Genomic DNA, 17,051 nt, shown 5'->3' with positions numbered 1-17,051 from the left:
GTGTTCTACTTTTGGTCATTGAACATGTTTAAGATGATTACTTTAAATTCTTTGTCAAAAAAATGCAAAAATCTCCCTTTTTTAAGGGTCAGTTTCTGGAGATTTGTTTCTTCAAGTAGGGCAGGTTTCCTATTTTCTCTGTGTGCCCCGTGATCACATACACAAAAATAAAATTCTATAGTACTAGAATGATGGTATATGAAACAACTATGCTCTGGTAATCTCATAGAAGCATGCTTATAGATGACACATTGCTTTTCCCTTTCTGTTTTTGAGATTCTCTTCTCATCTGTAATTTTTTGAAACTGCTTATAATGTATCTTGTTATGTGTCTGTTTGTGTTTATCCTATTTGAAATGTGTTGAGCTTCTTAATTTTTTTTTTTTACATTTGAGAATTTGTCAGGGTTTCTCATTTTCTTAATTTCATGTCTGTTTTCCTGTTTTACTCATTGGGCATTATTCAAATGGTTATCTCAGATTTTTCAGGTAACTTATACATCTCCATTTCTTTAGGGTTGATTTCTGGATATTTATTTATTTATTTATTTATTTATTTATTTATTTATTTATTTTTTTTTTGATTGAGCCATGTTACCCTAATGTATATGTTGCAATCTTTGGTTGAGATTTGGGCACTAAAAGCCATCTGTCAAAATCTTTATAAAATGGCTTTGTCCTGGATAATCTGATACCAAGTGACTTGGGCTAGGGTTTCCATGAGCCTCTCAAACCTATTCTCAGGATGTATGTTCTCTGGAATTTTGTGTTTAATTTCCAGTTAAAGAGGTTTACCCTTGTTTCTTCTTTCTTTCTTCTTCTCTAATCAATTATTTGCTAAATCTGTTGTCTGTCTGTAGTACTGCAGCCTCTCTGCTGCTATAACAATTATTTACCTTTGGTCTCAGCAGAACCAACCTTTGAATTAAAGGTTGGTTCTATTCTACCACTATTCCTTTCAGCACTTTGTGTCATGGGAGACAGAAACTAGTCTTTGGAAATTCCATCAAAAGTATGGGCATATGTGCCACTACTGTCTCTATTGAAGGAGAAGCTAGGAGTTGGGAGTTTATTCCTGAAGTCATTATGCTGTGTTTAGGAGAAGAAAGAGTTGTGGTGGGTAAATGTAACAAGCTTTCCTTCCCCTTGTCTATGGCTTTTAATATGGTTTCTAGAGTTCTCACAAAGGCATTTTGTTCAGTATATTTTTGTTATATTATGTTCATCAAAAAATCAGGGCCTGTAGTATTTTATTATGCTATCTCGCTAATGTGTTTGGTATAATTTCATATATTAGCTTTTTAAATTATATTCATCTAAGTCCAGTAAGTTGGATAATATGTTATTTTAATTTTTTTCAGCTGTTTCTTCTCATTTCACCCAAGACCTCTTGCCAGAGCATGGTATAAAAGATTCATTTCAAAAAGTGATACTGAGAAGATATGGAAGCTATGGCATTGAGAATTTACAATTAAAGAAAGATTGGGAAAGTGTGGGTGAATCTAAGGTGCAGAAAGAATGTTGTAATGGACTTAACCAATCTTTATCAACTACACATACCAAAATCTTTCAATTTAATAAATGTGTGAAAGTCTTTAGTAAATCGTCAAATCTAAATAGACATAAGATAAGACATACTGGAGAGATATCTTCCAACTGTAAAGAATGTGACAATTCCTTTTACATATCCTCAGTTCTAACTCCACTTCAGAGAATCCACACTGCAGAGAAATCCTACAAGTGTAAACAATGTGGGAAAGCCTTTAGGCACTGCTCATGCTTTCTTGAACATGAGACAATTCATAATGAAGAGAAACATTACAAATGTAAAGAATGTGGAAAAGTCTTTAAATCCTTCACAAGCCTTTCTAATCACATTATAATTCATACTGGAAAGAAACTCTATAAATGTGAAGAATGTGGCAAAGCTTTTAACCACAGTTCAAACCATGCCAAACATAAGAAAATTCACACTGGACAGAAACCCCATAAATGTGAAGAATGTGGCAAAGCCTTTAACTGGTTCTCATACCTAACTCTACATAAAAGAATTCATACTGGAGAGAAACCCTACAAATGTGATGAATGTGGCAAAGCTTTTAACCAGTGTTCAAACCTCACTAAACATAAGAGAATTCATACTGGAGAGAAACCCTACAAATGTGAAGAATGTGGCAAAGCTTTTAACCGGTGCTCACACCTTACTGAACATAAAAGAATTCATACTGGAGAGAAGCCCTATAAATGTGAAGAATGTGGTAAAGTCTTTATATCTTGTTCAAGCCTTTCAAACCATAAGAGAATTCATACAAGAGAGAAATGCTACAAATCTGAAGAATGTGGCAAAACCTTTAACCACTGCTCAGACCTCAATGTACCTGAGAAAATTCATACCTGAGAAAAATCCTACAAATGTAAAAAATGTGGCAAAGCCTTTAATACCTGCTCATGTCTTACTCAGGACCAGAGTTCATATTGAACTAAAGAATTATAAATATAATGACTGTCACAACACCTTTCACAGAAAAAAATAATTTTACCACAGATTAATTTGTTCATTAATGGAACTTTAATTCTGTGGTTTTTTTTTTTTTTTTTTGGTCTACATAAATCTGTCCTTATGCCAGTACTATATTGTTTAATTACTGTAACATTGTAGTAAGAATTTATATCAGGAGTGTAAGTTACTGAATTTTGTTATTTTTCAGAATTCTTGTGTGTTTGATTTTCTTTATATGTTTATATGGATTTTAGGAAGAGCTTGTCAATTTATATTAAAGAAAAGCTACATTGGAATTTGCATTGAATCTGTAGATAAATTTGTTGGGTATTTTGATCTTCATATTCAGTATTGCTATATTTGAATATTGAGTATATCTCAGTTTATTCAGCTCTTTGATTTCTTTCAGCATTTTAAATAATTTTCAGTGTATAGTATGTGCAGTTATTTTGTTAAGTTCATTTCTAATTTTTTTTTCTAGGATACTATTAATGAAATTTTAATTTAATTCTTATTTTGTTTATTCCTATAATATAAAAGTACTATCTAACCTTGTATGTTGATCTTGTGGCATTGATGAACTTCTATATTAGCTCAAGTAGGTTTTTATTTATTTATTACTTTATTTTATTTTATTTTATTATTATTTTTTTTTGAGACAGAGTCTCACTCTGTCACCCAGGCTGGAGTGCAGTGGCCGGATCTCGGCTCACTACAAGCTCTGCCTCCTGGGTTCACGCCATTCTCCTGCCTCAACCTCCCGAGTAGCTGGGACTACAGGCGCCTGCCACTGTGCCCGGCTAATTTTTTGTATTTTTAGTAGAGACAGGGTTTCACCATATTAGCCAGGATGGTCTCGATCTCCTGACCTTGTTATCTGCCCGCCTCGACCTCCCAAAGTGCTGGGATTACAGGCGTGAGTCACCATGCCCAGCCTCAAGTAGGTTTTTAATGAATTTCTTATACTTTTAAAATACAACATTATGGCAATAAAAGACTATTCCACTTCTTTTCTAATCTGGAGATTGTATTGATTTTTCTAGTGTAATTTTCTGGCTCATACCTCCAGTACAATGGTGAATAGTGGTATAAGTAGAAATTCTCGTCCTGTTTTCAAACTTGCAGATAAAGCCCCTAGTCATTCACCATTAAGTATATTAGCTTTTGGTGTGGAGTTTTTCATCTTGGCTCACTGCAGCCTCAACCTCTTAAGCTCAAGTGATCCTCCCACCTTAACTGCCTGAGTAGTTGGGACAATAGGCATGCACCACCATGCCCAGATAATTTTTTTTTTAATATTTTGTAAAGATGGGGATTCCCTATATTGTCCAGAATGGTCTTGAACTCCTGGCTTTATGCAGTCTTTCCACCTCAGCCTCCCAAAGTTCTGGGTTACAGGTGTGAGCCACTGCGCCGGGCCAATTTTGGTTTTTCATGGAGGACTTTTAGCAGGTCTCAAAAGTTTTCTTCTAATAGTTTTCTTGGTGTTCTATCATTCATAGGTGTTGAATTTACCAAACTTTTTCTATTTCAAGTATTACATTTTTACTTTGTTCAAGTAATATTGTATCATATTAAATGAACATTGCATTGTGAAAATACCCTGCTTAGTCATGGTATGTAATCATCCTTATACCTTTTTGTATTCTTTTTTTAAATATTTCTGAGAATTTCTGTGTCTAAATTTAAATAGGATGTTGTTTCGTAATCATCTTGTGATTCTTTTGTCTCCTTTGGGTATTATTGGCTAATAGATGAATTAAGAAATGTTACCTCTTCTACTGCTTGAAGTTTTTGTGAGAAATTGATGTTTTTCATTAAGTGTTGATGAAATGTACAACTTAAGCAGTTTATAACAGCTATTCTATCTAAAAAGATATAATTTTTTTGTTCTATGGATATAAGTATATTCTATTATATATATAATGAAACAATTCATAGGATGTTTTTTCAGTTTACTTTTGTAATCCATCTCTATCGGTATTTTTTATTTCATAGTATGTCATGAACAATTATTCTAGGCACTTGACATGGAATAATTTGAAAAAATAGAGAATGAGTCCCGTACTACAATCAATAAATAACTCAAAATTTTTTCCATTTTTAGGATGAAGAATATGAATATAGTTCTGTTACGTAATATTTGTGTTTACTGTGTGAGACAAATGAGTTACTGAATGTAAAAATAATTAGTAAAACTGCCCTTTGATTTTGGAATGTATGAAGCAGGCAAATGCCCCTACCTTCTATTTTTATCAATATTTAGATAAGGCAGACAAATAAATTTTAATAAGATATACAGAATAATCTTGTATTTGAAGAATGCTATGAAAAAAGATAGTTTGGAGGAGTAGTTAGTATTTGGCTCATATAATGTGTTAGGTAACTATTCTAAGCCATTAAACATTTGTATGCTTAATACCTAAGAGTTTAAAGTGAAGAAATCAAAGATTCATTGAAAAAGAAAAATTAAATTTTAAAAAAATTCTATTTTTAATTGAAAAATAATAGTTGTATATATCTGTCTACAGTGTAATATTTTGATATATGTTTATGTTGTAAAATGATTAAATCAAGTTAATGTTTATAACCTCATATAATTTTTGTGGTGAAAACATGGAAAATAGTCTTTATAGCAGTTTTGAAATACACATTGTAGTCACCATTCTGTGCAATTGATCACTAAATCTTATTTCTCCTAAGTGAAACTTGGTACACTTTGAAGAACATTTCCCCTCTTTTTATTCACCCCATCTCCTAGCCTCTGTCACATTTTCATTCATACTAGGTAACATTAAGATCATTATGGAAATTAACTTTTTGGTGCCCCACAACTAAATGAACATAAATAATGTTAACTTTGTTAGGAAGTTATAGTAATTACGCATAGGAACAAACGGCAGCTATTTTTGCCAGTAAACAAAGGATGCGCATTATTTTCAAATATTAGATATAAGTATTTTAGGTGGTAAAGTCTTAGGCCTAAAATACGTCATTGAGTTTATTACCCCAGAAACCCAGCAGGTCATATTTTCTGAACATTGTAAATAACAATAGAAATTATATACTAAAATGTTACCAGCAAGTACTATCTCACCACATGAAAATTGCATTGAAATTTTTTAATCTGTGGTTCAAATGGAAGACTCAAAGAGATTCTTTTATGGATTCAGGGAAGTGCTAATGAGGAAGCATGGTGATTGAAGCCAAAAATCTGAATTCAGGTAAGTAATTCTGCCAATATTTTCTTTTTTTTTTTTTGAGATGGAGTCTCGCTCTGTTGCTGGAGTGCAGTGGCACGATCTCCACTCACTTGCAAGCTCCTCCCGGGTTCACGCCATTCTCCTGCCTCAGCCTCCTGAGTAGCTGGGACTACAGGCGCCCGCCACCACGCCCAGCTAATTTTTTGTATTTTTAGTAGAGACGGGGTTTCACCGTACTAGCCAGGATGGTCTCGATCCCCTGACCTCGTGATTCGCCCGCCTCGGCCTCCCAAAGTGTTGGGATTACAGGCGTGAGCCACCGCGCCTAGCCAATTCTGCCAATATTTTCTCAGTGGTGTAGAAAATAAGTAGTTTTGGCCATATATAGGTACTGTTCTCTGAAGTAGAGTACATTTATCTCAGAAACTTATGCAAAATGTAAAATCAGTTCCCTAGTATTAAAGTTAAACTCTACAAATTATTACTTTACAGTATATTGAGGAAAGGATATGTTCTAAATAAAGTGACGAGATTTCTTGTCTGTTACAAAAAATTGTGTAAAATGTATTTCATGTGTACACTTGACATTTGTGCTTGTTGGAAAACTAGATTCTACACATTTTAAATGTAGAAAGCTAAAATTCTCAGAAAGTTACAAGAATCTTTAAAGGACTGTATAGCGTTGAAAGTGAAAGTAAAATATAATTTTCCAACTAGAGAAGCAAACCAAAGAAACCACTTATGAAAATAATCAACTGAGAACTAAGTGCTCCTCTTAGATATGGGCGATCAGAGTTGCCAGATCCGTGTGGGTGGCCCAACTTGCCATAAGGCAAATTTAAAAAACAAAGACATAAACTGCAGATGTCTCAAATGTAATGTCTCCCATAAGTGAATAGAAAATTAAAACGTATGTTACACACAGTTATAGGACTTATTTTTTAAATGTTTAAGTCAACACAATGAGAAAAATAGGAAAAAAAATGTTAAAGAGCAAATGACTACAAGCTTGACAAGCCATATTTGAAAAAGAGGCAAATACAAACAGTTGGAAGTAGAATCAACCTACTTAATATACAACATACGGGTTAAATATTAAATTAGTCTCAGCTGATGAGATTAGTGAACCGAAATACTGAGCACGATTAATGTAGTTAAATACAGTAAAAAGAGAAAACACCCGCCGACCCCAGCAGAAGGCACTAAGGCCTGACGCCTGACCCCTGCCCCGCCTCCGAGCCCCAGCCTCTGAGGCAGTCTCCAAGCCTTTGGGAGTAGCTTCTGAAGATGAATTGGTGGGTGAATTCCTGCAGGACCACAGTGTACCCTTGTATCCCGTGCCCCTCAGACCTTCAAGATGGATGAACTCCTGGCTGAGATGCAGCAGACTGAAGAGTCAAACTTCCTCCAGGCTCCCCAGAGAGCCCCTGGTGTGGCCGACTTGGCCTTGTCTGAGAACTGGGCCCAGAGTGACTTGCAGCTGGAGATGCTGTGGATGTAATTCAGGATTATAATGAGACAGACTGGTCCCAATCATTCATTTCTGAAGTTACAGACCCCTTGGCCATTTCCCCCACCTGCTGGGCTGAGGAATATTTGGAGCAATTGGGAGAAACTGTGGTTGGGAGAGCCTAAGGGAGCAGCAGCCACCGGTCGTTGGACGATGAATGTCATCTTGAGGAGGATGTGCAGCACATGGCCAGTGACTTTGTGGCCAAAGGGGATGACCCCAAACTGGCTAATTGTGAGTGTACATCAGATGCCTGGGTTGACCATTCACAAGACGAGTAAACACAGCTGCCCTTGATAGGGAGTTTGAACGCGCCAAGTCAGCTGTAGAGTTGCAGACAGAGTTGGAGGAGAAGGCAAAACGGGATGCTGACACTCACCCCTGGCTTTCTGGCTATGATGACCTCGCATCAGCTTCCTATGATAAGGGGTACCCGTTGGAGGAGGAGAACCCCCTGCGTGATCACCCTCAGCCTTTCAAAGAAGGGCTGCAGCGACTTCAGGAGAGGGCCCTCCCAAATGCTGTGCTGCTTTTTGAGGCAGCTATGCAGCAGGATCCTAAGCACATGGAAGCTTGGCCGTATCTGGGTACCAACCAGGCAGAGAATGAACAAGAACTGTGAGCCATCAGAGCATTGCAGAGGTGTCTGGAGCTAAAGCCAGATAAGCACTGATGGCCCCGGCTGCAGGCTTTACCAATGAGCCTCTGCAGTGACAGGCCTGTGAAACCCTGCCACACACCAGCCTGTGGCTATCTGGTGACACCTGCTGAAGAAGGGGCTGGCGGGGCAGGACTGGGCGCCAGCAAGCATATCTTGGGATCTCTGTTGTCTGACTCCCTGTTTCTTGAAATGAAAGAGCTCTTCCTAGCAACTGTGCAACTGGACCCTACATCCATGGACCCTGATGTGCAGTGTGGCTTGCAGGTCCTTTTCAACCTGAGTGGAGAATACGACAAGGCCATGAACTGCTTCACAGCTACCTTCAGTGTTCATCCCAATGACTATTTGCTGTGGAAGGAAAACCAGAGTGAAGAAGCAGTAACTTCATACTGCCAGGCCCTTGAGCTCCAGCCTGGCTATATCCAGTCCCGCTATAACCTGGGCATCAGCTGCAGGGCTCACTGGGAGGCTATAACCTGGGGCTCACTGGGAGGCTGCAGAGCACTTTCTGGAGGCCCTGAACATGTGGAAGAAAAGCCGGGGCCCTCGGGGTGAAGGAGGTGCCATGTCGGAGAACACTTGGAGCACCCTGCATTTCGCATTCTGTGTTAGGCCAGAGCGACGCCTGTAGGGCGGCTGATGGCTGGAATCAGTCCGCCCTGCTAACCGTGTTTGGCCTGCCCCAGTGACAGTGGGATGGGCTGCCCTGTGGTGTCCGCCTAGATGGGTCCCCCCTCTGGATGTGATGTGAGTCCCTCCCCCCAAATGCACCTACCAAGCGGGTGGGCTGATGACCGATGACCGTAAGCAGTAAGGCCTGTCAGAAGCTGCCTCAACATAGGGGTGGGTAGTCCGTGTTCCAGTTCCTAGATAATCGTAGGAAAACAAGGCTTGTTTTCTCTGAGTCCCTTAGTAATTTAAGGGCTGTACATCCAGCTACAGAGCCCTCTGCTCATCATGCCCGTTCTTTTTGGATAGGACCCAGTGATCTAGGCTAACTGTTGTCATCAGCTACCATTTCTGATAGGGTCTACCACATTTGTCATGTCTGTCCTTTCCCCCACTGTTACTGGGAATTGGTAATGGTTCAGTGCAAGTAGGAGGTTCATCTACTGCGCGCCTCCAGTGATGACTGTCTGGGATGGGATGTTAGGAGTTGGCCTGTTGGGTTGAATTGTTTATTTGGCTCTGCAGAGCTGAGTTTTGGTAGGGGTTCTAGAGTTCCGTCATTCTTGGACCTCTCCTGGCTGAGCTCCGAGTCCCTGTGAGTACGATGCTGATGCAAAAATGCTGTGTCATCATCCCAGCAGTCCTCAGGAGCTGCCAGGGCCAACAGTTACAGAGTGTCTGTCTGAGTGTGGGGTGGGAGGAAGGTTCACTTGTGAAATGAGGCTGGGTGGGAGCGGGGAGGGACTAGATCAGATGAGATCAAGAGCTCTGTTCTGGGGCCTTGGTGGGAGAACAGAGCAAGTGGGAAGCGGGTGTGATGAGTGCAGCAATCCCTCCTCCTCTTAGAAGTACCTGTGAATAGGAATTAGGCTAACTCTTCTAGTAGGTTGGTTCACAGGTTGCAAACTTGCTAAATTGCTAGCAAAGAGCAGGTTCAGTGTTACCGTAAGACTTGGCTGTACCTCTTGCAATGTTTCTAGGGGAAAGCACTGGAAAATCCCCTTCCCCCATATTGTCTCCAGAAGGTTAAAATTGAGGGAAGATGAGGGAGCAGCTTGGATTCTTCTCAATTGTCCCTTGCATGGGGAGATACACTAACCCCTAGAAATGACTGCTAAGCCTCTTGCCTTGTCTTCAAGTGGCTAATGATCAGAAATATATATATATATATATATTTTTTTTAACTACAATGGTCCCAAGATTCCATTCTGAAATTTATTTTTCTTCGTGTGAATATGTATAAATGATTTACAAATAAGACTAAAATATTTGTTAAAAAAAAAAAAAAAAAAAACAGCCAGGCCCGGTGGCTCACGCCTGTAATCCCAGCACTTTGGGAGGCTGAGGTGGGCGGATCATGAGGTCAGGAGATCCAGACCAGCCTGGCCATCATAGTGAAACCCTGTCTCTACTAAAAATACAAAAAAATAGCTGGGTATGGTGATAGGCGCCTGTAATCCCAGCTATTCCAGAGGCTGAGACAGAAGAATCACTTGAACCTGTGAGGCGGAGGTTGTAGTGAGCCAAAATTGCACCATTGCACTCCAGCCCAGGCGACACTCCAAGACTACATCTCAAAAAAAGAAAACATAAAACAAATACATATATCTATGAAGACTAGAATGCTAGAATGAGAAGGAATAGGACAAATCTCTTTTTTTGTGGGATATATTAAAAGAATTTGAGGCTGGGCACAGTGGCTCACGCCTGTAATCCCAGCACTTTGAGAGGCGGAGGCGGGCAGATCACCTGAGGTCGGGAGTTCGAGACCAGCCTGATCAACAGGAAGAAACCCCGTCTCTACTAAAACATACAAAATTAGCCAGGTGTGGTGGCGCATGCCTGTAATCCCAGCTACTCGGGAGGCTGAGACAGGAGAATTGCTTGAACCTGGGAAGTGGAGGTCGTGGTGAGCCAAGATTGCGCCACTGCACTCCAGCTTGGGCAACAAGAGCAAAACTCCATCTCAAAAAAAAAATTTTTTTTGAATAATGCCTTTAAGAGTTGGTGGTTTGTAAGTTTCTAAACTGAAAACCAAACATAAATCCTTGAATTCAGAAATGCAGTGTGTCAAAAAGTGAAAAAAAAAATTACTTTAATAAGCTGGATAACACCAAAGAGAAGAAAAATACTAAAAATCAGTGTGAGAAAGAGGTAAGTTGCAAAGATGAGAGCAAAATTTCTACAGCTTTTATAAAACCCAAAACATAAATAGGAATGGAGCTAAGAGAAAGTATTTATTAAAGCTAGAAGTAGATACTCGGCTAAAATACCTTTAACAAAAAACGGTAAATTAAAATATATTTTTAAAACCCTGAGTGATTTGTTTACCAATAGGAGCTTTTTAAAAGTGTACTTCAAGAAGGAAAAATAATATTTCATGTATAAGATTAAAAATGAAAGTGTGGCCGGACGCGGTGGCTCACACTTGTAATCCCAGCACTTTGGGAGGCCAAGGTGGGTGGATCACGAGGTCAGGAGATTGAGACCAGCCTGGCCAACATAGTGAAACCCGTCTCTACTAAAAATACAAAAATTAGCCAGGCGTGGTGGTGCGTGATTGTAATCCCAGCTACTCGGGAGGCTGAAGTAGGAGAATCGCTTGAACCCAAGAGGCGGAGGTTGCAGTGAGCCGAGATCATGCCACTGCACTCTAGCTCAGGCAACAGAGCGAGACTCTATCTCAAAAAAAAAGAAAGTGTAAGAGACTTGATTTGGAAATATCAAACCCTGATGGACATTGAACTAAAGATTAGACTTTGGCAGCATCAAGCAACTATTTAGATATAATGAAATTGCTATTTAATTCATTGCATTTAAGTTAACAAATTCTGTGCCATTTGCACAGTTTAACTGGTGGCAGAAAAATCTACTTCTCTTCAGAAGATTTTTGTCCCAGTGCAACCTTGTTAAAAATGGGTGGCACTTTGTTAGAATATTTTTTTGGAATATTGATGATTCTTCTGTCAGGAATGATTTGTACCAAAGGACAGACAGTGGCACAGAGAGTGACCACAGGCATCTGGACATCCCGGGTGACTGGGCCATGAACCCACCACATGGTTAAGGAGGATGAAGTAATAACGTCCACTGAGTATGTGACCACAGAGCAACTCACCAGAAGACACAGGCTGGTCTGCATGGCCCTTTTCTCTGGGGAGGCTCTTGGGGAGCGGCTGGTGTTGCGAAGGCTCTGGTATCACCTCTCATGCCTGAACAAGAGAATGACCGTGTACATACTGGACAGCAGCATGATTCCTGAAAAGAAAATATTCTGAAATAACATTAGAATAAAAATCAGTCCCCCGAGGATGGAGCTCATTGGAGAAAGTGAGCAGAAGTCACCGACACTCGGTAAATTGAATTCGTCTGGGTCACACTGAAATAAGCTACAGTGCAGATGATCATGCTACTACTGGAAGATAATTTATGTTTTTAAGTCTCACCTACCACAAGATGCTAGGGCTGATGGTGATGGCCTGGAGCATGCTCAGGAGGCAGGTGGTGGTGATGGCCAGACCCCTCATCACCCTGTTCATGGAGAATAATGCTTGACATTTGAAGTCCTTCCAAAAATTCAGTGACTCAAACACCATCTAAAGAGAAAAAAATCCACTACAGTGGGGTGCATCATTGAGTGAACAAAAGTCAAGTGACAGGTGATCAGGTCCGTGTGCTTCGGCCTGTGATCCAGGAGTGTGAAGATGAAGAAGAAAAGGAGAAAGGTGTTGACTGGGACTGCAATGTCAGCTTGAAAACAGAAGGTATTTTTTAGTAATTACATAAACCAAAATTGTGTTCTTAATAATGAACTTTATGTATTTTTCATATTTTACTTTTTTTTTTTTCAAGACAGGGTCTTGCTCTGTCACCCAGGCTGAAGTGCGGTGGTGCAATAACGCACTACGTTCTGGGCCCCCTGGGCTCAAGTGGCTACCTGCCTTCGTCTCCCAAACAGCTAGGATTCCAGGTGAAGCTAATTGTTAAAAAATGTGTAGTGGGGATGGAGTCTTGCTATGCTGCCAGGCTTGTCTTTAAAGTGATTCTCCTGCCTTGGCCTCCAAAAGCACTAGAATTACAGGTGTGAGCTACTTCACCTGGCCAGAAATTGGCTTTGTACATCAGAAAAACCCCCAAAAATCTCACTTCATCATTGTTAATTCTGCATTAGTCAAAATTATCACAAATCACTTTTATTGTTTTGCCCTCTTAATCTTGGTAAGCCCTATCTCATATAAATTCTTGATAATCCAGCCTCTGCATCATTTTCTACACCAATTAGTATATGAAATACCAACACATTCACAGTCTTCCCCTTATAAGATGCGCACTGTCTATTCCTGGGTATAGATACCCATGGTACCTGGGCATCCCTCTTTAGAAATCGTATCTTTGTTCTGCATTCTTATTTTATATTTAGCACATCGATGCTACAAATATATAAAATTACCCAATCATATGTGCACAGTGGAACTGAATAAAATTTATGCTAATAGGGAAAGAATCACCAAAACAATGGAAAAAAATAATATCTAGTTGTCTTTCTGACATGCCGATCTTTCAACGCTTTTAATTCTTCGTCTCTCACATTTTGAACCTTTATGATTAGACGTTTGAACCTACCATAGTAATTCAGGATAGTATCCTTATTTTTCACCAACAAATTAGCAATTTTGATCCCATGTGCAACTTCTCATACCCATTGCCATGGAATGTATATTTGCTGTATCTGAGAATTAGAACATGGACACCTTTGGAGGGCATTATTGTGCTTACCAAACCCTATTAGCTGTATCACATAAAAATGGCTCTGGCTCTCTTTCAGTTTAGTTTCCATCTCAAAAATAAATTACCTACATCTCAACAGAGGATCCCCAGTGTCCAGCTCTGAATTGTCAAGAGAATAACACTAGTTGTAATCACTTGTGACAACCATAAAGTCGCATCAAAAGGATCAAATGTTGATCCTTTTCTTGAGATTCCACTTAATACAGAGATCTCCTCTTTTGCTTTGAAAACACTTATTTCTCCAATAATAAAGGTAGTTTCCCTCTAGTTTTATTAGGATATCTGTAATATCAGAACACCTGGCATAATTTCACTGAGCAATTTTGAAATTACTCTCTAATGTTACTGGCCAAGGTGCAGGCATAATTGTTTTATCAAATTAATCCAGTGATTAGAACAAGTCAACTTAACGATACAAAAAATTAGAAAACCATTCCACACCGCTCAGTTTTTTTCTGAGATGGCAGCTGTCCAATTATATTTTAAAGGTCACTTATCACAATACCATCCCATGTACGGAGCTATCGGTGATAGATTAGGTAGATGTAGATATCTCAATGCAGAAATGGTGACAATTAGTATTTTTGGCTCTTACTCAGAAATTAACGGCTAAGGTAGAAAATTTCTCTAAAACAACCTCATATGTATGAGCCAATCATTTCAACCTCATATGTTGAAATGATTGCTAATACATCTGCAAAATCTTAGTAAAGGAACACACTTCCAGAACCAAACAACTGACAGTTCCATGAACACGCACCTTAACCCTCAGCACAACTTGGTTTTGCTGTCATGATAAAACCAGGAAAAGAGCCAGGATATCGTTGATTTAAAGGCTTAATGGTCTCTCTTTTGGGGATTATAGCTCCAGTAAAAGAATACTTGGATGTGGACTATTAATATATGTGCAATTATTTATAAACTACATGTCCATATAAATTTGTTAATAAAACACATGGAAGCCATATAACAGAAAGAGATAAAATAGGAAATCTGATGTTTTATTCTCTTAAGATATATTTAGTTCACCCCATGTATTTCACACCCTTCTCTCTACAAATAACAATCACATGCTGAAAAATACTTTATCTGCTGAATCATCAGATGGAGTCTCTCTCTAACAAGTCTCTTGAGGTCATTGGTGTTGAGACTGCACAAGGAAGGATCACAATACTGTGGATTAGAATTGACAGCTAAAGTATATTATTTTCATTATTCCTTTTGGAAATTTATCTCTCAGAATCTAACTACTGATCATTGACAAAGACATATTTGTGCACTCAAAAGTCATTTGTCGTTTATTTAAATTTTAAAGTTAATTTTCTGTCCTATTTTTTACTTGATGAATCTGGCAACTTCACTATGAATCACAGGATTTACAATAATATGGTACTGACCTGGGAGAAACAATATAGAAGAACATAATCAGAGAGCTTATCTGTAGGTGGGTCAGAGTGCAAAGGACTATTGGGTCCTACCTGATACATTAAAAACTGATCAATCTAAATGCACATCTCAGCCCTCACTGTGAGAAGTGACAGCCATGGGTGGCTGGGGCTGAGGGTGAAGCTCCCGAGCCCTCTCAGGAAACAGATAATGCAGATCAAGTTCATCCTTATGTTGGCTTTCACCTCGGACTATTCTAAATATTGTAAGTCCCAGGTATTTACATAATTATGAATAATGATGGGAAAAATTTACCATTGAATGAACAAGAAACGAAAGACTGATTATAAAGTCTTGAGCTTAATCGACACCTCTGAAGAAAAGAGGAGTGTACTAGAATGAAAAACCATTTACACAAATCCACAAGCAATTTTACATGCAATTAATGTGTTCTTTGAAAAAAAAGTATCCCGTGTTTTGTTTTATTAATAAAAATGTCATTGTTATTATACACAAGTAACAGCCAGCATTTTAAAACCTATGACTGGTCATTGATAACATAAAATGATCATGAGAATTTCATGTTAAAAGTCAAAGAGGAGATGGCTAATGCATGCTGGGCTTAATACCTAGGTGATGGGTTGATAGGTGCGTGGGCCCAGACTCCCCTTTTCTCTGTGATTGGAGTGGATGCCAAGAGTGAGGAGAAGCCAGACAGTGGGAGCGAGCACTTCCAAGCCTGTGGGGGTGGGGGAACCTTCCTGAGCCCTCCAGAGTGCAGAGATGCCTGGGTCTGCAGCCATGGCGGCTGTGCCCAGGAGGATGGGCCTCCTGCCTGCTCCAGCTCCCAAGAGCACAGGGATGCCCAGCTCACCTATGGGTCAACCCCCAAGAACATTTATAATTTCTCTAGAATGGCATAACCCTTCCAAAAGCTGACGGGGACCTTGGGAATCTTCTTCCAGAGGGTCCTGGGTCAGGGATATTGGCCTGGCTGTGAGACAGACAACCTCCTACCCTCCCTGTGCCTCCTGGGCCAAGACGTGGAAGCCTCATCAGGATGCACTGCCACTGGCAACAGGCCAAGAACGGGGTCTGCTTGGGGGGCGCAGGTGGTTCGGGGGTCCCAGGAGAATTGAGAACTTCCTGCAGACAAGATGCCTCTTTTTCCTCATTTTTGGTCCAACTGATACACTGGATAGTGAGATAAACCTTACATTTTAATTTTTATGTATTTTTTCATTATATGCAAAATGTATACTTAAACAGACAGTGGATTTGAAGGGAAAAGTATTTGAGATTCATTCTTTCAAGTGTCATTTAGTCCTATATACATAGGTTTATATATATTATATATATAGTGTATATATATAGCATATATAGTAATGTATATATGTAGTGTATAGTATATATGTAGTGTATATATACTATATATGTGTATATATAGTATATATGTATATATGCATACATATGTATATAGTATACATGCATACATATGTATATAGTATAGATACATATATAAATATATATGCTATATGCTATATATAGGACTATATATATATACACATACACACACGCGTATATATATAGTCCTATATACATAGTCCTATATACAGATTTGCCCTATGTGTAACAACTACGTAGATAAAAAAGTTATGAAATTGTTTTTGGTTTTACAATGCTATATTAAAAACATTGAAATTCACCAATTGAACAATCTATGCAAGGGTATTATGGTTTTTTGTTATTGTTGTTTAAGTCCTGAAATACAGAGATAAGAGCTGAGTGAGCAGCCACTGGTGGAGAAACAGTCTTCACGGGGCCAGTATTTTTCTGCCCCGTCTCATTTGGCTGCGGATCAACACATGTCATTTAGTACAAACAAGCAAACAAAAATAGCAATATGCTTGTGTGCCTACCCCAGATGCTTTATGTGCAATAATGAAATGAGGAAGGGGAAGATAAGAGAATGGAGAAAAGGATACTGTACCAGCCAGAATGTGGAGTCAGAATGTGGTGTCAGAATGTGGAGTCAGAATGTGATGAAATCACATTGTGGGTTTCTACATGAGAATGTCTGCTGGAGTTGTAGGAAGAGGTCCTGGGTAAAGGAGCAGGTGTGTTCTTAGAAGGCCCTCCTGTCTGCTGCTGGAACACATCACCTGTTTATTCGTCCTCCATTTCCCGCTTTGCAGGTGTGTCAGTTTCACTGAGTGACCGTCCGTAAAATCCAAATCTGATTTGCTTCATGGCCAAACCCTGCCATTCACCATAGGCTTCCACTCCTTCATTCAGTGATGTGTACTTCTTCCCCTTCAACTGCGCCCCAGAACCA

At 39.2% G+C, this 17,051-nt stretch overlaps 3 pseudogenes, besides 1 other annotated feature; 2 read left to right on the top strand and 1 right to left on the bottom strand.

Annotated features, from left to right (window-relative positions):
* Positions 1,358–2,033, top strand: ZNF731P (zinc finger protein 731, pseudogene; annotated as a pseudogene).
* On the top strand, positions 6,891–8,581 carry LOC100131465 (peroxisomal biogenesis factor 5 pseudogene; annotated as a pseudogene).
* On the bottom strand, positions 11,412–12,326 carry VN1R16P (vomeronasal 1 receptor 16 pseudogene; annotated as a pseudogene).
* Positions 16,594–16,888: a silencer, noted in NCBI's record as "tiled region #5824; K562 Repressive DNase matched - State 23:Low". NCBI's record gives its function as "represses a minimal TATA promoter and a strong SV40 promoter by Sharpr-MPRA in K562 cells {active_cell/tissue: K562}" and the evidence as "EXISTENCE:reporter gene assay evidence [ECO:0000049][PMID:27701403]".

The sequence above is a fragment of the Homo sapiens genome, chromosome 1, assembly GCF_000001405.40.
Source record: "Homo sapiens chromosome 1, GRCh38.p14 Primary Assembly".
Classification (NCBI taxonomy): Eukaryota; Metazoa; Chordata; class Mammalia; order Primates; family Hominidae; genus Homo; species Homo sapiens.
This window is presented reverse-complemented; position numbering and strand designations above follow the sequence as displayed.